Source organism: Homo sapiens, chromosome 7 (assembly GCF_000001405.40).
Source record: "Homo sapiens chromosome 7, GRCh38.p14 Primary Assembly".
NCBI lineage: Eukaryota > Metazoa > Chordata > Mammalia > Primates > Hominidae > Homo > Homo sapiens.
The window spans coordinates 154,565,748-154,585,969 of NC_000007.14; the positions used below are offsets into that span (position 1 = coordinate 154,565,748).

Sequence of the window (20,222 nt, forward strand, 5' to 3'; positions counted from 1 at the left end):
CTCCTGACCTCAGGTGATCCACCCGCCTCGGCCTCCCAAAGTGCTGGGATTACAGGCGTGAGCCACTGCGCCCAGCCAATGTGATGTCATTTCTAACCTTTGTCATCTCTCTCTGATTTCATGTGGTTGCCTGAGCATGCATAGAGTGATGTCCACCAAGTCAGCAATGTGGGCTCTGGGGGTGGGTGTGGGTATCTGTGGAGCAATGTGCTTGCAGTGCAGAGGGCAGGGGCAATTAAAAGAAAACAGCACAGTTGATGGTATCATTTATGTCGGATGATGTTTGTACTATGAAGAAATTTGAAGGAAAAAGTCACAGTTAGTCTTCTATGTACTGACTTGTAGGGATGACCATGTTGGAAAAAGAGCAAGTTGCAAAATAATGTGTGCAATGTGATTCTATTCTAGTAACAACTCTGCTTATTATATGTGTCTTAGAATTAGTGAGAAAAAGGTTTCTAAACATATCAAGAGGTTGAGAGTTTTGTAGAAAAGTTTGCTTTTTAACGCTTATTTCTTTTTCTTTTCTTGCTCTCTCTATTTTTTTTTCTGAGATGGAATTTCACTCTTGTTGCCCAGGCTGGAGTGCAATGGCCCAATCTTGGCTAACTGCAACCTCTGCCTCCCAGGTTCAAGTGATTTTCATGCCTCAGCCTCCCAAGTATCTGGGTCTACAGGCATGCACTACCACACCTAGCTAATTTTGTATTTTTTTTCTTTTTTAGTAGGGATGGGGTTTCACCATGTTGGCCAGGCTGGTCTTGAACTCCTGACCTCAGGTGATCCACCCACCTCGGCCTCCCAAAGTGCTGGGATTACAGGTGTGAGCCAGTGCACCCAGCCTTTAATGCTTATTTATATTGGCTTGTCTCAGTAAGTCCAATAAGTATGTTTTGTTGAAATTTGAAAAAAAATACAAATAAAATATGAAAAAACATCAATTAGCTAAATATTATTCAGCTAACAAAGAAAGGATATAGCCATTTTAATAGCTAATTAATTTTGAAAATGGCACCAGCAGATACAATTTTATTATAAGATTCTGACTTGTTGTATGTAATGCTTTAAAATTCTTTGTCTATTTTTTCTTTTAGGAATCATTAAGAGCCATCAGATATGAAATATCTCCAGATAGAGAGTATGCACTTTTTTCATACAATGTGGAACCCGTGAGTATTATCCTTTACTGCCTACAAAATAATTGTTTCTTTATTCTAATATCTCATTAAGTATATTTCCTTGACTCTTCTATACTTAGTGATCTTTGAATCCAGAAATACTTTGTACATCCTGGAAGTCTCTTTTGCATATCATACTGCCACCTAGGAGAGAGGAAAGGTATAAATATCTGCTTGGCAGGGGAAAAAAGTCACATACTTTAGAGGCTCTTTCATAGACTTTTCTTAGGAGGATGGTAAGAACTTGTCTCTTCATAGACACAAATCTTGCCCTTTTGTGCAATTATTTTTCTGGCTGTTTTCTCAGTGAAATAATAGATTTTATCCTAAGAACAAAAAGCAACTGCCAGGTTCTCCTTAAACTGAAATAATATGTTAATTATCTCCTGGTCATTGTAGTGTTCTAGTGAAGAGCTGAAGCTATCACTTCCACTATTTAAATGCCTATTTTTAGCACTTCCTGTATATATGAGCCTCCCATAAAATTTCACCAGAATTTTCTGTAAAATCTCACTGTGTATTAGTAGCAGTGTAAAACTTCCTAGGCCAGGATCTTCCTTCTTCTTCTTGTTTTTTCATTTGACATGCTCGTATTTCAAATTTCATTTTGGCTCTTTAATTTTAAATAGTTGGAAGGTGAAGTTTATTTGTATAAGTGGAGAGGATGTTCAGTTTACAAGAGATAAGCAACTTTAGAAATGTATGTTTTAAGAACTTTCCTCTCTGGCAAATAAGATATAGAGTCTACTACTGCCTCCCTGGCATTTCTGAGACCATTTGAAATAGAGTTTCCTGGTGCTTCTGTGAGGTGTAATGACTCCTGCATTTTAATTCAGGTCAGAATGGCTCTGTGGTGAGTTTGAGAGAATCTTTTCTGGCATGAGACAGTCAAGCTTTTTGGTTTATATCCACTGGGAAAGCTGGGGTATTGGTTTGTATGAAGATGCAAGTTCAATTCTGAATTCTTAAACTTTCTTTTAGAAGTTGATTGGACAACTGGATTACTGGAGATTTCAACTTTATTCTTCCAACTGTAGATTTTTTTGGACTCTGTTTCAGTCTTCCATTTTTCTATTTTTAAATGTCCATTCTATAAAGGTTTTCATTTTTTCCATCCAAATTCTTTGAAACAATGGGGCATCTTTGTCTCTTTGATTGGGATCAGTTGGTGAACTTGACATTCTAAAAGGCTTGGGACTCTGCATTACCTAGACACAGCCTTAAACTTGCCTCTTTCAGCCTCAGGCACCTGGATGTGATGTTCACGGGTCATAGACCATTTCAGCTTCCTTCATCACCCTTGAAAACCACCAGAAATACAATCTCCACACCTGTATAAAAGAAAAATGTTAGCAGATATTTGAAAGCCTTACATGGATGTGTTCTGGTTTGCCCCAGGAGGCACAGCTAACACCTGAGTGAGAAAAGCCTAGAAAGACAAATTGATTTCAGGTTATCCTCCTAGAGAATCTTTAATCATCGGAGCACCCCGACAGTGGGATGGAGGTAATGAGCATTCCGTTCCCAGAAGCCTCAAAACAAAGTGAGGTATTGTTCTCCGGAATGTGACAGAGGGGTTCCCGCAGCCGTGTGATCGGAAGAGGCGTGCTCTAGTCAGTGGTGCTGTGGTTCTGTGCATGATACAATTCTCCACCACTTTCTTCGGCTTCCCAGCGCTCTGTTTGGAAGAGTGCCCTGGGATCCCATTGAACCAGAAACCATTTTGATAAAGATCATTTTGCTAAAGATGAGTCTTCACCATGTGGAGCACTGGCTGTAAACAGGAACCTTGAAATAACCCTTTCTCACTGGGCAGCATCTGTCGGTGTTTGGAGTAAGACTCTTCAGTTTGTCTTCTCAACTGAAGGAAAACCTAGGAAGTTTGAAGTGTATTTACAGAACTATAAAAATGATAAAATTGAAAATGTAAAAAGTCTATAGAAACAGATATTTTAAGTTGAATAAAATAAGTAATCCTTAATAGTTTTCAGCACTGAGCAGTTACTGTATACATGACTATTCAAGCAAGTATTCTCTGTTCTTCTGGAGGAAAAATTATAAGGGAAATTATAACCTATAGGTTATGAGTAGTGTGTCTTCTCTCTGAACTCCTTAGCGCTATACCAAGATACAATCCAAGTTCTTGAAATTCTATCAAATCCACAAAATATGTAATAAAAGGATTACATATGGGATTCTGCATGAGAATTTGGAGTTAGATATTAGGAAGATCTTCCTAACTAGATAAACTAAAATGTAAGTAATTTTAGAAAAGGGAGGGGTAAATTTCAAAGGAAGAGTCTAGGTCTGTGATTCTGGAATAAGTGGAATAGACCAGGACTTCCTAATCAGTATTTAGTATCAGTAATTGTTATTGCTAGTATTGTATTAATAGTATAATCAATTAAAAATATTATCCATTGGTATTCTTTAAAAACAATTAAAGGTTCCATATTCAAATACATTTGAGAACTCTAGTTAAACAGATAAGTTTCTTGAAGTTCCTGATATTCTCATGTTGGTTACATAGTACTTCCCAAGTGGGTATTACAACATGTGATTCCAATCTAATTATAATGAAACTAGAATTTGTTATTTGGATTCATGCTCAACATATTCTTATGTGTGTATCTCAAAGGCAGCTAGTGTAACTTGTTTATATGAACCAACTCAACTTTTCATTAAAAAGACTATCATAAAATTGTTTTAGTGTAAACCAACTGTCCAATTACTAGATATCTGTCATTTATTTCAGTATATGTTTCATTTGCAATAAAATTTTGGTATATTGGGTTACCACTGCACTAAAAAAAAAAAAAAATCCTACTATCCCACATTTCGTCAGGATAATTATAATCTCTTCAATCTCTGCTTCTCTTTGTTGCCTGCCCAAAGATACTGGACTTGGAAGTCAAATAATCATAGGTTCAAGGGCTCATTCCGATGCTCACCAGCTATGTTTGCTTGAGTAACCCACTAAACCTTATGCACTGCATCTTGGAGCCATCTTCCTGGGTGACCCTGGGCTTCTGTTTCTCAGTGGTGAAGGGCGACCCAATGAATGTCAGCTCTCCTACACTTCCAGGGTATATGTGTTTGAGCACAGAGTAGTTCCGTATGTATACCCAGGGCCAGATTTAAGGCTCTATCCAATTTCATTGGAATGGAGTTGATGGATGCCTACATGAAATCAGCTGTCTTGGCAGTGGCTCAAGTAGAAGTGAGTAAGAGCTTTCCAGCACAGCATGGGTGGTAAGAGAAATGAGGAAACAGATCATTAAGGAGTTTAGACACAAATAGTACAGCAACATCCTGAGAATAAGAGTTGAAGGAAAGATGTTTAAGTTTAATTTTTAGAATATGCATTGGGTATCTCTTCTTCTCATTTATTCAGACTAATTGCAATGTTATATCATTTCCCAGTTGTTTGGCATAGACTAATTTAATTTGTCCATTTTTATATTGTCAGATACTCAAAGACAGGGACAGGTCTTTTTATCTCCTATCTGTCCCCACCTCAGAGGACCCAGCACAGGGTGATCTGCGTACATTTAGTACTGAGCAAATATATTTGTGGTGTGTGTATATTCTCTCCGAACCCCTTAGCGCTATACCAAGATACAATCCAAGTTCTTGAAATTCTATCAAATCCACAAAATATGTAATAAAAGGAAAATACCTCAGTTGTGAAATATCCTAATAACGTTCCATGTTTATTCTAGAAATGTGGGATCATGCTAATTAGCATGCTTTTTCCTACTAAACTCTTCTAATATTACTAAATGTATAGCTTGGCTAGCATCCTTGAACATACACAAGTTAGCTCATCTTAACTATGCCAACCCTATGTTTTTTTGAGAGCTTTAAAAGTAGCCTTTAAAAAGGTGTTTGAAATATCAATTATCAAGTAAATTTGAGAAACAGCAAACCCAATTTTCCACTTTTTCAAGCCTCAGACACCTATAGGTTATAAGTAGTGCATCTGGAATGTTGAAAATAATAAACAGTATTGTGTTTGTATTTATGTGGCACCAGCATTATAGTTTGCAATGTGTGCTTATTTACACCACCTTATTTTATCTCAAAAGATCATTCCTGCTCCAAAGAGACAACATGTGCTAAATGAGTTTTATTTTATTTTATACATAAAATTTCATAACATTTCTCAGTGTACACTTCCTGAATATTCTCTTGAAATTAAGTTAGACATTGGAGAAATAGCAATTTTTTATTTTTAATTTGAAAACTGTATTAACTATACTAATAAAGAAAAATTGCCTTAAAACAAATGTATCTAATTAGAGCAGCCATGCTTTTTTATATTGAGATATATTTGACAAATATGAAACATTTCCAAATCTCTTTGGGGAGAGGGAAAAAGAATGTAAAATGCATTATCTAAGATCATTTAAAAATATTAATACTTTTTCCTACTAAACTATTTTAATATTACTAAATGTATAGCTTGGCTAGCATCCTTGAACATACACAAATTAGCTCATCTTAACTATGCCAACCCTATGTATTATTGAGAGCCTAAAAAGTAGCCTAGTATTAATATCTTAGATCATTTAAAAATATTAATTTCAAAGACCTAAGAGAAAAATATTCTTCCTTGAAGAATCATTTCTGAAAGAGTCACTGAAGATTTGTGAGGAATTTCATTGCAATATTTAAAGGAGTTAGTTGAAATGATTGTTCTTAGTCAGATCATTGCCAGTGGAACATCATTCTGGTCCAAATGAAATTCTGTCCAAAATCTGGTCAGATTTTAAGATTTTTTTCCTAAAATCCCAATCACACAGTCATTCAGTCAGTAAAATGGGTTGATACACTGATCTGTTTATAAACTGTTCATATAACTGAAACACATAAACCAATCCGTTTTAGTTACTTGCCACTGCATAGCAAATTATCCCCAAACATAGCAGCTTAAGACAAACAACATGTATCATCCCAGTTTCTGCTGGTCGGAAATCTGGGCTCAAGTTAGCAGGATCCTTGCACTCAGGGTCTTCTATAAAGAAGACTGTGGTCAAGGTGACATCCGGGCTGCAGTTGCATCTGAGAGCTCACCTGGGGAGGAGTCTGCTTCCAAGCTCAGGGCATGGGTGTTGACAGGGCCCAAATGCCATCCTTAGAGATGGGTTCTGCTCAGTCCTGAGAGAAGATGGTTTGCTGCTGAGCTTTTCATGGCAGGAATTGGAAGCAGTTTTCATATTTGATAAATTTCTACTATTTTCCTGCCATCGTGGTGAGTTGATAGAGCCCATTTTGCTCTCTAAGGGACTGTGAAATTTATAATTCATATAAAGCTTGAAGAACACCCTGATGTGGATAATCCTGATCAAACCTGCTTGGTGAGGTGAACCCCAACTATATCCCAGAATCTTCTATGCACCCATCTGGTCGAGTTACCTATTTATCTATATCTTAATTAATTTTAAAAAATAACTTGAGGCTTTATAAATGTAATATAAGGGATTGGGCTATAAATTATTGAACCCATATTGTGGACTAAATTATAACTGCTGGAAATCAATTCAGGTAATTCTGAGTATATGAGTTTCTTTTTTTTTCTTTTCTTTTTTTTTTTTTTTTTTTTTTTTTTGGTGGTGTCTCACTCTGTTGCCCAGGCTGGAGTGCAGTGGCGTGATCTCGACTCACTGCAACCTCCCCATCCCAGGTTCAAGAGATTCTCCTACCTCAGCCTTCTGAGTAGCTAGCATTACAGGCACCCGCCACCACACATGGCTAATTTTTTTTTTTTTTGAGACAGAGTCTCACTCTGTCACCTAGGCTGGAGTGCAGTGGCACGATCTCAGCTCACTGCAACCTCCACCTCCCAGGTTCAAGTGATTCGCCTCCCTCAGCCTCCCAAGTAGCTGGGATTATGGGCACGCACCACCACACCTGGCTAATTTTTGTATTTTTGGTATAGACAGGGTTTCACCATGTTGGTTAGGCTGGTCTCAAACTCCTTACCTCATTTGATCCACCCGCCTCGGCCTCCCAAAATGCTGGGGTTACAGGGGTGAGCCACCACACCTGGCCAATTCTGAGTATATGAGTTTCTTTGTTGCAAGAAATATAGCTATTGTTATAATATGGTTCTGATGTTTACTGCCATCCCTTCTTCATTACAAGAAGGGATGAAATCTTCGTCCAGGAGTGGCTAAGGGAATTGTGTTTCTTGATTCTCGTGCTCTTGGACTGGTTCTTTCTGCACTGTCTACAGAGCCTTTCCTGGGCCCACCTCTGGGAACCAGTTGATCCAAGCGTTTTCTGCTGGACGAAGGCCTTGCACATTCTCATGTGTGGGGGCTGCTATCAGAATTGCAGGGAGCTCTCTGTCTCCCTCTGCAGTGGCCTCAGAGGGCAAACTGAAGAGCAGGGCCTGCGTGTGCCATTTCTACCACACCTGCCGCCCTTTCTGCATCAGCCCAGTAGCTGCTGCAGCAGCAGGAGGCGAGTCTCACCTTCAGCACGTTCTCCTTCTGAGAAGGCAGTGGATGAACAGCCTGTCCACCACCCACTGAGACCAGAAGCTGCCCCTTCACTGCCTGGAAGTGCATCCTGCACCCATCAGCATCACTCCAAGCCCTTTTATCCCGGGATGAATTCCCGTGTCTCAATCCCAACCATCTTTCCTTTGCGACCGAATTTATAAATAATGGTCCAGATTGTTTTGTCAGCATCTTGCCTGACATGTTACTCTTAGCCGATATAAGGCCAACTTCTCTGTGACTCTTACTACATGAGATTATCAAAAATGGTCATCACTGATTTTTGAAATGTGTGTTTTCACATAGCTCTTAGCACAATGCGTGCAGTTTCATAATACTGTGAAAATCAAATCATATATCCACGTTCTTGGGAAACTGTTTAAAGGCTAAGCCTGTGTAAGCAGTGTAAGATAATGCTGATGTGGGCTCCTGTCCCTTGTAGACTGCTGCCTCCTGTTGTGAATCTGACCAGCAGCCTCAGAGGAAAGAGATTGTTTCTGTTGTGGAAGGCCACTGGCTGCTGTTGGTTTCCATCTGTTTTTGAAATTATAGATTTTTAGGGTGTTTTGTTGTATTGTTTTGACACAGAACTGGCTCAAAACTAACAATTATTTTCTTGTTTGTTTTTTATTTTTATTTTTACTCAGGTTTTGGAGCTAAATGTAAAAGCACAAGCTTAGGCATAGAAAAAATGTAGCCCAAACAATGGTTCTTTTCTCAACAAAATGCAAACTTTGTTAAGGTAATGCTGTGCGTGTGTGTGTGTGTATGTGTGTGGGGTCTGTGTGTGTGGCGTGTGTGTGGTGTGGTGTGTATGTGTGGTGTGTGTGTATGTGTGTGGGGTCTGTGTGTGTGGCGTATGTGTGTGTATGTGTGTGGTGTGCTGTGTATGTGTGTGTGGTTTGTGTGTGGTATGTGTATATGTGTGTGTTGTGTATGTGTGTGTATGTGGTGTGTGTATGTGTGTGGTGTGTGTATGTGTGGTGTGTATATGTGTGGTGTGTGTGTATGTGTGTGGTGTGTGTGTGGTACGTGTATATGTGTGTGGTGTGTGTATGTGTATGTGGTGTGTGTATGTGTGGTGTGGTGTATATGTGTGGTGTGTATGGTGTGGTGTGTGTGTGGTATGTGTATAAGTGTGTGGTGTGTGTGTATGTGTGTGGGAGTGTATGTGAGTTTGGGGTGTATGTGTGTGGTGTGTGTGTGTGGTGTGTGTGGTGTAGTGTTTGTGTATGTGTGTGGTGTGTGTGGTATATGTATATGTGTGTGGTGTGTGTGTATGTGTGTGTGGGGTGTACGTGTGTGGTGTGTGTATGTGTGTTGTGTGTGTATATGTGTGTGGTGCATATGTGTGTGTGTGTGGTGTGTGTTTGTGTGTGTGATGTGTTTGTGTGGTGTGTGGGGTGTACGTGTGTGATGTGTGTGGTGTGTGTGTTTGTGTGTTGTGTGTGTGTGGTGTGTGTATATGTGTGGTGTGCGTGTGTGTATGTGTTTGGTGTATGTGTGTTGTGTGTGTGTGATGTGTGTTTTTGTGTGGTGTGTGGTGTGCTGTGTGTGTATATGTGTGGGGTGTGTGTGTTTGTGGGTGGTGTATGTGTGTGGTGTGTGTGGTGTGGTGTGTGTGGTGTGTTTGGTGTGTTGTGTGTATGTGTGTGATGTGCGTGTGGTGTGTATGCTGTTTGTGTGTGTGTGGTGTGTGTGTGGTATGTGTATGTGTGTGTGGTCTGTGTGTATGTGTGTGGGGGGGTATATGTGTGTGGTGTGTGTGGTGTCTGTGGTGTGTGTGTGGTGTGGTGTGTGTGTGGTGTTTGTGTGGTGTGTGTGGTGTGTATGTGGTATGTGTATGTATGTGGTGTGTATGTGTGTGGGGGGTGTATGTGTGTGGTGTGTGTATGTGTGTGTGGTGTGTGTATGTGTGTGTGGTGTGTGTGTGATGTGTGTGTATGTGTGTGATGTGTGTGTAGTGTGTGTGTGGTGTTTGTGTATGTGTGTGTGGTGTGTATGTGTGTGGTGTGTGTATGTGTGTGRGCGGGTGTATGTGTGTGGTGTGTGTGTGGTGTGTGTTTGTGTGGTGTGTGTGTGGTGTGTGTATGTGCGTAGTGTATGTGGTGTGTGTGGTGTGTTTATTTGTGTGTGGTATATGTGTATGTGTGAGCGGGTGTATGTGTGTGGTGTGTGTATGTGTGTGTGGTGTGTGTGTGGTGTGTGTGGTGTGTTTTTGTGTGGTGTGTGTGTATGTGTGTGGTGTGTGTGGTGTGTGTATGTGGTGTTTGTGTATGTGGTGTGTTGTGTGTATGTGGTATGTGTATGTGTGTGTGGTGTGTATGTATGTGTGGTGTGTGTATGTATGTGTGGTGTGTGTATCTGTGTGTTTGTGTGTGTAGTGTGTGTGTGTGTTGTTCTGGCTAGTGGGGGAATTGGAGGATTTTACTTACCTGCAGCATTCCAGCGGATCTACAGGTTTTGAGGTTTCAGGATCGATTCTTTCGTGTATAGCTTTTGCAGAGCATGTGAAATATTTATTTGTCTCATGCAGGGCTACAAAAAGAGGCTTTTGCACACATCCCCAGACAGGGGGAAGTCCTAATGAGACCATGCATTCCAGGCCGGCCCGCAGTGGAGGGGTTGTCATAAGTGGCAGTTTGTGTCCATGATTTGAGGAGCACAGAAAACACCTCCCCTACCATCACCCCACACAGGGACACCGCTGTGAGTCACCTTCTAATTGGTCTCTCTACTTCCCCGTGCCCCCATCCCGCTGGTCTGCACAGCGTGGCCACAGTGATCTTTTGACGGGTAAATCAGGGCGCATCTCCGTCTGCGTCCACCGCTGCATAATAGTGATGGACGCTCACTCCCTGCAGAGGCCCGAGGCCACGAGACCTGACCCCACACTCCACACTCCACACTCTGCCCAACCACGATGACCTTTCTGTGTAACTCAGTGCTCCTGAGTCCCTTCCAAATTCAGGGCCTTTGAACTCATGGTGCCTTCTCCCCCTAGAACATTCAGACCTATAGGGAAACACACATGCCTTTTGTAGTAGAAAGGGAGGAAATAGCTGAAAATGTAGGTAGCTTTGTTTCTAGGCCTAGTGAAAGAATCACTGAGTTCCTTTCAATGCATTATTTTATTATTCCCCCCAAATTTTGAGATACGGTCACTTGTTGAGAGTGATGGTGGAGGAGTGGGCCAGTTTGAGGGAGTGTGATCTGGAGACAGAATGCAAGAGCGGTCTCAGCAGGCCGGGCACAGCCCCTGTGGATGGATGCGCGGGAAATACCAGGCTCTTGGGGGAGGAGGCTGCTCACTATCTCCCCTGAGTATTCAGCACCCACGACCTGCACGGAGACCCTGGTAGGTGTCCCCTGGGGCTAGGAATTTGGCAAGTAAGAGAGATCAGGTATTTTCAGAGGAGTGGTGATTGCCACAGGCCTCAGAAACACCGGGTCTGGGAAGAGTGAAGCCAAGAGGAGCCAGAGGTAGAAAATGGTGGTGTTGATGGATTAGCAGTGTTGAGTTGGGTCAGAAGTCCAAGGTGGTGGTTGTGCAAAGGCAGTGGAAGGGTAGAGTGGGGATATCAGAAGGTAAGTGCAGCTAGGTTCCTGTGATGATGGGATTCATAGGAGAAGTGAAAATATGAAGGACGGGTCAAGGGCTGACAGGTTTGAACAAGGCGTAGTTTGGGGGAGGATGACCTGGAAGACACTCAGTGGTGCTTTAGGAGGGGGACAGAGAGCCTCAGAGATCCCAGGGACTCACAGGAGGAGGAGGAGGAAAGATTCGGGGAGGGTCGTGGGGAAGGACCCCCCTGTCCATCTTGCAGCGTTTAGAACATGGGAGGGTGGGATTAGAAAGAGCCTGCATGGAAGAGAGGAAGCCGAGACCCCTGAGAGCCAGGCCTGTGCAGGTGGGAGCTGGAAGGGGACAAACTCCAGGAGAGACTGCTGGTGCAGGAGCAGCTGGCTGATCAAAGGGCAGATGTTTCAGGGAACACCGTGGAAGTTTAGACAGCCAGGGGCAGGTCAAGGATTAGGTCCTCCAAAGCCGTGTGGGGTGTCTGTGAAGAGCACTGTTGCTTGGCCTCCTGCAGTGATAATGTAGTAATAATAAGTTCTGAAGACCACCCACCAGCTTGCCAAGGGGATCTGACTCTTCTCCATGAACCAGTGACATGCCTGTAATTGGTAAGAAAAGAAGTGAAGAAATGTAAATGAAGAGAGAGTGGGTTTGCTGAGTGAGATGTGAGATAGAGAACACTCGATTGCTTTCATTAGGAATGGCCATCATTGTAATGTAGTGAGGGGAGAATGACTCAAGTACTTCTGGAAGGACTGGTTCTTCAATTCCGACGTAGCTGGCCATTATCGTAGCTCATTAGTGGCAATTACTTTCAGAGACTCAAAAGCAATTAATATAGACCCAGTTACTCAGGCCTTCTGAACAACAATTAAGGCATAGAGAGTTTTAGTGTGGATCATTATCTCTACTTGATGGTTACAGCATTTTTAAACTACGACAAACTGTACAGATTAATCATTGTTGTGTGTTACGACCAATTCCATTTGTGATTTAGGGCTCCAACTGCTGTGGAGAAGATAATTTCACAACATGTTAACTTAAGATGCCAGCCATAGCATTACCAGTAATATCACACGCATTGCCCTTTTAGCACAGGGTTAAAATTAGAAAACCATTTCTTGAAACAGGTTAGGACATGCTTTTGCTTGTCTTCTGCTCAACTAAAATTATTGTTTTTATGATGCCAAATAGACTTTCCAGAATGTCATTGTCAAAAGTTTATGGTGTTCCCGCTTCTCTCTTGGTGTTTTTCACAGTAAGGCAACTCATCATTGCCGAGCCTGGCGACGCTCTCCATGCACAGCATAGCAAGTGCCTGGGAATTTTGTAGTTTTCACAAACAATAGGTTTTCATTTTCTAATGTTCTTTTTCCCACTGTATCAGGTTGCTTTAGTCTTGAGAGTTTATGATAGATGGAAGTTTGAGCATTGAGAGAACCTTGGGTACCGTCCTGGCAGGCTGCGTGCAAGAGTAAGCAGGGGCTATTCGGGCTTGGCAGGGGCTATTCGGGCTTGGCAGGCTTTGGTGAGGCATCAGCTGTGACTGTGCTTTGGGCCAAGTCCATAACCACAGTTTTGGAATCTGTAGAAATTAATGAGYSCAAGTGGTGAGTTGCTTGAACAGTTCCCAAATTGGGTGCCGCCTTGGGTCTCTCAGTGACTTGYCTCTAGTGGACGGTGGTGCCAATTTAACAGACACCAGAGTGTCTGGGTTTGTATGATTTCTCTTGAGTGTGTGTGCCTGTCCGTGAGGGTAGGTGTGCATATGTGTGCACAAAGGGAGTAAGTAGTAAGTACTTTCTCACTAAAAGTGGGAGATGAAGGGGAGGAGGAACATGCAGGGTTATTCTTCCAATGGCACTGCAATCTGCTGTATAATTCAGAAATCATAAACTGGAAAAATAGCCATTCTTTTAAGTAGAAGGAGCGTAACAGTGGCTAGGCATCACTCCATAATCTAGCTCTCCACCTGAGCAACACGTGCAGAGCTTCAAGAGGCTCTGAATTCTTTCTGGCTGCCAGAGATAACCAATTATACAAAGAAGAAAAATCTGCCAGGTGCAGTGGCTCATGCCTGTAATCCCAGCACTTTGGGAGGCCAAGGTGGGCAGATCACCTGAGGTCAGGAGTTCGAGACCAGCCTGGCCAACATGGCGAAACCCCATCTCTACTAAAAATACAAAAATTAGCCAGGCATGGTGGTGGGCGCCTATAATCACAGCTACTCAGGAGACCGAGACAGGAGAATCGCTTGAACCCGGGAGGCAGAGGTGGCAGTGAGCTGAGATTGTGCCACTGCACTACCGCCTGGGCAACAAGAGCAAAACTCCGTCTCAAAATAAAAAAGAAAAGAAAAAGAAAAATCTTATGTTTTCTTACTCTTGGAATGAAGAAATATGCAAGTACGAAAATTCATGAGGAGATTCGGTAGGTATCTAGCTCTGATTAAATGATTTATTAGAAATAAGAATTAGTGAAATCAACCACTTTTTAAGTTACAAAATATTACAATGATCAGTTTTAACCTCACCCCCTGCCCTGAATGAACTAATTGTTTTTCTTAGAGCCAGGTAAGGGCCTGCCATTGGCAAGCTTGCACCTTGAGTTAGGGTTAGAGTTGTCATGAGTCAAATGCCAGCCATGTCCTCTTCTGCCCCCCATGGGGGGGCCCAAAGTGCAGGAGTGACAGAGAGGAACAGAGGCAGATGGGCAGCAGGGAGATGGACTGGCAGGTACCTGTGTCCTCACAGGTAATTACGTGTCATTCCCTCTGGATGGTTTCTGAACTGTGGGAACTCCCCCATGTGCATTGATGGGAGAAGAGCCAGGCAGAGACACGGTAAGGAGGGCAAGTTATCCATGTGACCTTAGGGATACTTGGGGCAAAAGTAGGCTAACCTCCGTGCACACCCTGGAACAAAATCTTTAAAAGAGAGAGCACAGAAGAGAGAGAGAGAGCACTTTGCCCGGAATGAGCCCCATAATCAGACACCACATCTCCCAAATTAGCAGCACCCTTGGTTTCTGGGCAGGCTGAGTTTCCCGCGCGTCGGAGGGGATAGGATGTAGCGGTGAATAACAGTAAGACTCCAAAATCAAGTGGGTATGTCTGACGATCTGCCTCTCTCTCCCCCTTACACACACACACACACACACACACATGCACACATACTCTCCCTCCCCCTTACACACACACACATACTCTCCCTCCCCCTTATACACACACACATGCACACACACATTAACACACACACACATTCATTGCTCTTAGTATATTTCCTCCCTACCTCCTTAACTTTGACCATTGACAAATTTTTCTCTCTTAAGAAGTCTTGAGGCAGTGCACTCGGGCATAACTCCCTTCCTTGTGATACATCCACGTCTTTGTGAATGATGAATGGAACGTTGCTCACTTGTTAGTAATTCCAACAGACAAAGACGTGGCCTGAGACTGCCCCTCACCTGCTCTATAATGGCTTCTTGCAGCCTGCTTTCCTCCCTCCAGCGCTGCCGTTAGAGCCTGAGGGGTCCAAGGGAGTCAGTCTGCCCCCGTGAGTCTTCATGTGGTGTAGATGATGTCAGGGTCAGAAACTGACATTCAACACGAGCTGAGGCCCATGGTCCCAAAAATGTGTGTGAGCTGTAGTTGTCCAAAGACGTGAGAGGACAAGAGGCTTGAGTCAGGGAAGGCCGACGGAGAAGAAAGCCTGGAAGGAGAGGAGGATCCGGGGTGAAGAAGAGAGGAATGGGGAGAACCTTCCCGGTGCGATCACTGCAGAGGAACAGAGGCCGCCATGGGAAACACCTGCAGCGAGCATCAGCGAGGAGCTGAAAGTGCTCAGGTATCAAAAGAAGGCAGAAGAAAGAGCAGCAAAAAGGAGAGAAAAGTCAACATAAAAATTTAACACGGGTCCCTTCTGCTGACAGAAGCCTTCCCAGTGCCTATTGCGGCCACCTTCCTAATGTGACCTCAGATCCAAATTTAGAAACAGCCTCTGTTCCCTCCGCTCCCAGACTGTTTTTTCTGCTTGCCCTGCATTCATTTCTTGGAAGTTTTTTAAGTATATAAGAGCCCAGGTTGGCCAGGGCAGGGGTTAGGGAAGCAAAGGAACTGGAAACCTGTGTCCGCTGAATTGCAGAGCAGGAATAAGGGACTCTGCAGAAAAGAGCATGACAAAGAGCCGCGGATACAAGCGAGGGTAGCAGGAGAAAGAGCTAAGAAGGCAGAGGTTAGTTGTTTGATCGTGCACTTGGGGAAGGTGGAGGGAGAAGGGGCCGTGAAGAGATGGAACGGACTGGCAGAGGAGATTTGTGTGGGGAAAAGGAGACAGAGGGGACAGGAAGAAGGGGACAGAAGAGTAAAGAGCCTGGAAGGGCCAGGGAACCCTGCCTGCCATGGTCCTCCCCCACTTCCTCCCACACACCCTGATGCAACTGTGACTGCCCTGGCACCTCAGCAGCTTCAGAACAGGGAAAGGAGGAGAACACGGGTTTCACAGGAGGAGAAGCAAGGAGGACCCAGGGAGCTGGGGTGCCCTGTGATTCTCAACCCTGTCCACATGATCTGACCTGGGGGATGAGAGCTTATTAGATCCAACTTGAGTTGACAACAAAGAACTTCTGGAGCCTTTCAGGCCCTTTTGAAACAGGCAGATCTTCTCTGCAGTCATGTCTAATGCAGCAAAGAAAACAACAGTGTCCCCTGCAGGTGCAGGGACTTCTGGCCTGAGACAGCAGAATAATCGCTCCTGGAGTGGGAAGGTTGGCTTGTGTATTGTGCGCGGCCATCAGCAGCATCTCATTTCAGACTCTCTCATATCCCCGGAATGTCCCGGGGTTACCGAAAAGGCCCCATTCTCCTTCCACCTGCCTTCTCCTGCTGCTAGAAACCAGGATTTTTGACTATTGTCCCTGCATCCCCACATGTCACCCAGAGGCAGCCTTAGGCCCCCTGTCCTGGGCCACCCTTGGCATAACTGGAGTAGACCCGGGTGCCTACCACAGCCTCCTTTTCCTCAAGGGCAGCTGCCCTCTCGGTGCCCTGCTCACTGTGAGCAAATACATATTTAAAGACATATTCTGCTACTTCCCAAAGGGACCAGCCACCACCTGCACTCCTCGTCCTGGTGGAAACAGTCTGAGTGCTTGCTTTGGTAATCAAAGGTTTCATTGAGTGCAGATGTAGTGATCCTGGCAAAACCCTGGAAACAGAAAGTCAGCTGAAGGGGTGTTTCTGGAGATGAGGAATTGTGCTGGTTAGCCACGGGCATGTCCTGAGGATAATTATTTGTTTACAACATTTCTGTGAACAAAGAACATATAGGGACAGAAATAAGTTAGTTTCCAAGAATCTTGTGATGGGCTCCATTTATCTGACCCATTGGGTTTGTAGAAGAGGACAGAATGCTGCTTTGGTTCTCCTCCTTGGACAGTGGAACTAGAGAACGGGAAGCTGAGATGGCCGAGCTGAGTGGACAGAGGAGGGAGGAAGCCCCTCACCTCGCCTGCTTCCCACAGGGTCCCTTCCTCCTCCTCCTGTTTCCTAAGCTTCTCAGCTGGGCTTCAGATGTCAAGGTTTCCTGGCTTCTGCCACTTCACCTTCTCATCTTAGCTGCCACTGGACCATAAGCATTTCAGGTTGCTCAGATCTCTCCCACCGCAAAATAAAGCAAAGACAAAAAAGTTCTCTCTCTCTCAACCCATACCCATGTCCTCCTCTGGTTCTTCCCTTCACAGTCAAATGACTAAAGAAAGAAGCAGCTGCACTCACCTCTCTGTCCCCTCCCCACTCACTCTTCCGTGTGTCTCCCACAGAGTGGAATGAGTGCTCAGGGCTCAGCCACCCAGCCCCTGGGGAACAGTATGAGTGTCTTCCCCATGTTATACCCCCGGGGGAAGGTATGAGTGTCTTCCCCATGTTATCCATTAGGAGACGGGCTTTGGGAGATTGCAAGGTTTCTGCAGTGCCAGGGATGGAGGGCTGTGGTTCCAGGTATTCCTCTCTGCAAACACCTGCTCTTGATGGGGGCTCTGCTGCCCCTGAGCCCACTGGTAACTGTACTTGGCCCCCACCACACAGCAAAACTCTCACCCATCTTACCAGCAGTCTTCTCGCCCTGGAATTCACTGGTGCCTGTTTTAGGCTGCCTGGGCTGCCATGGCAAAATACCACAGACTGGGCAGCTTAAACAACAGACGTGTGTATCTCAGAGTTCTGGAGGCTGGAAGTACAAGGTCAAGGTGCCAGCAGGTCGGTTTCTGGTGACGGCTCACCTCTTGTGTAATTTTGGGTGGACACAAACATTCGGTCTATGTGCCAATCTCCTCAGGCCTCCTGTGGCAGAATTTGAGGCCGCTCACCCCTCCCTCTTCCTCAGTCCTTGGTTCCACAGGCCCTGGCTGCCCTCTGGCTGCCTCCTGGCCACTTAGGAGGTCCTCAGGTGCTCAGACTTGATTGGATTTCCCAGTCCCACCCAAGGTCATCTTCTCTTCTCTTGCGCACTCACCCTGGGCAACTTAACCTACTACGGCAACTACTGCATCGGCTGCTGCCACCCAAAACGCGATACACTGAGTGGTGGCAGAAGCCTCCCCAGGAAGCCTGTTAGAAACACTGACTCGGGACCCAGCCCACACCCTGATCAGTCAGAAGCCTCGCGTGGAGGAGATCTGCATATGATTCGTGCGCACACTGCTGAGACACATGAACCTCAACAACAAGGCTCCCGCATCACATCTCTGTTCTGGACCTCTGACTCGGGTGTCAGACCTGTGTGCTGCTGTCTCCGGGGAACGTAGAGGGCCCTCAGACACAGTGTGTGCAACTGATCTCATCCGTTTAATCCCACGTTGGCCCCACGTCCTGCCTGCAACATCAGCACTTTAGGAAAAACACCATTGTCCCCTCCTTACCAGGACCCTGGCTAGAGACCTTCTGTCTCCCTGGCCCAGGCAGCATCGCCATCCCCCTGCCTTTGGGATATGTCCCTTCCACTTCCCCATTGCCACTGCCCAGTTCAGCCCACCTTACCTGTTATCTAAAAAACCACCTCTGCCTCCAGGGCCTCTTTGCCTCAGCCTCCCCGCCCCACACTTCTTCAATCTGTGCTGGCCACGCTGCCTTCAGGGTGACCTTTCTCAGTGCCAATCAGGTAACTCATTCCCAATCTGCACCTCTTCCCTAACCCCCTTGCTGTCCCACCTGCTCCTTCCCTCTCACCTCTGGGCCTTTGCAGGCGCTGTTCCCTCTGCTGGGAGCACCTGCCTCCTCCACTGACCTCACAGTTCTCCCACGCCCTTCCAGCCTCTTCAGCAGCAGGCCTTGGACTCCACAGGAGTGGGCTCCCATACCCGTGCACACCCACGGGGACCACAGCACTGCTGACGGTTTTCCGATTTCCTGCCTATGAGTCCCCGCACTCCAAGGGACTTTGAGATGCTTAAAGGTGGCTTGGGACATGGCTGATCCACAATAGAGCCTCGAGAAATATCCGACCCATTGCAAAATGGACCGTCCCCCACCCCCATGCGGTTTCAGGGCCGCTCCCAGGCTGTGAGTGTTTATGTGAAAGGAGTGTTTGCCACGTCGCTCGGGACGCCCATCCTGGCAATGAGCAGCTGCAGCTTCCAGGATTTTACCTTCTTAAATGCACTTCTGTTAAGCTGTGCATGTAAGAGGTCTGTTCTGTTGAAATATTTCCCAGAGACTTTCATACTAAGGAGGGCTTTATTGTTATAAATATTTAAACCTGCTTTGCAGCCAGTCGCTACGATTACTCAGCTCAGAAAGCATGCACAAAGCCTGCCTCTAGTGGACGATCCTGTGCTATTCATCGGCCTCTCATTTTAAATGTCTTCCTGATTTCAATTTAAAAGCGTATCTTTATATAACATATACAATTTAACTTTTTCTTTTTAAAAATATGTATAGCTAGTTTTTGTTGTGCAATTCTATGAGCTTTAAGACCTGGATAGACTTTTGTAACCATCACCACAAATTGGGATATGGAACAGCCCCATCACCCCAAAAAACTCCCCCTGCTCTGCTTCCTTCAGGGCAAGCCCTCCCTCCACCCCTAGTCCCTGGCAGCCACAGACCTGTCTACAGTCTTGTAGTTTAGCCTTTTCTAGAAGGTCATATAAATGGCATCAAGCAGTATATAAAGACTAGCTTCAAAGTGGAGAAAACTTTAGGCCTCTAAGGCATTTTAATGCCCGCATAGTCTTCATCTTTAGGGTAATTTTGCTCTAAAAACGTTTTTGCTGTTTTGGTGAAATATGTAATACTAGGATAGACTATGGAAGATGTGCTTACTGAGTTCTTACCCTCAATGTCAAAAACCCAACAGACTTTCATTACTGCATCCCCTCTGTACAGGATCAAAGTGCCCACCCTTAGAAAGTCTGATGAGACAGAGAAGAATGACTTGCGAGGATCAAGAAAGACAGGCTGAGTGAGCAGTGTCCTGGCCTGAAGCCTCTGAGCACTGCGGTTGTCCCTCAGCACCCCTGGGGAGTGGTTACCAGAACCCCCGTGGGTACCAAACTCCACAGAAGCTCAAGCGCCTTAGGTAAAATAGTGTAGTATTTCCCTATAACCTACACACATCCTTCCGTGTACTTGAAATCATCTCTAGGTTACTTGTAGAATCAAATACAATGTAAATGCTATGTAAAAAGTTGTTCTACTGTATTGCTTAGGAAATAATGACAAGAAAAAATCTGCACATGTTCAGTACAGATGCACCCATCCTTTTCTTTCTTCCCGAATCTTTTTGATCCTTGGTGGTTGAATTTGTGGATACAGATCTCACAATACTCAGGGCCGACTGTAATTCTGAAGGAGGGGGCTTTGGGGCGGGAGCCTACAGGAAGCTGGAGGCAGGGCACTGGGGACTTGAAAGTGAAAAAGTCAGTCATGAGCATGGGAGAAAGGAGAGGAAGGCAGGGGAAGGC

The 20,222-nt window shown here is 44.8% G+C and overlaps 1 protein-coding gene across 14 annotated transcripts in view, besides 1 other annotated feature; it reads left to right on the forward strand.

The window, feature by feature from the left end:
* The window catches only part of DPP6 (dipeptidyl peptidase like 6), a 1,146,153-nt gene that overhangs the window by 817,615 nt on the left and 308,316 nt on the right, over positions 1-20,222 (forward strand). For all 14 annotated transcript variants that reach the window (NR_157195.2, NR_157196.2, XM_047419951.1 and 11 more), the window contains one exon: positions 1,095-1,169. Coding sequence is in view for 12 of the 14 variants with exons in the window: in XM_047419951.1 (XP_047275907.1) it covers positions 1,095-1,169 (75 nt within the window). In the remaining 2 variants the exon portion in view is untranslated. The remainder of the gene's footprint in view (positions 1-1,094; positions 1,170-20,222) is intronic.
* Positions 18,604-19,187: an enhancer, noted in NCBI's record as "H3K4me1 hESC enhancer chr7:154376061-154376644 (GRCh37/hg19 assembly coordinates)". NCBI's record gives its function as "activates a minimal SCP1, AML or CMV promoter by ChIP-STARR-seq in primed H9 embryonic stem cells {active_cell/tissue: H9 hESC(primed)}" and the evidence as "EXISTENCE:reporter gene assay evidence [ECO:0000049][PMID:30033119]".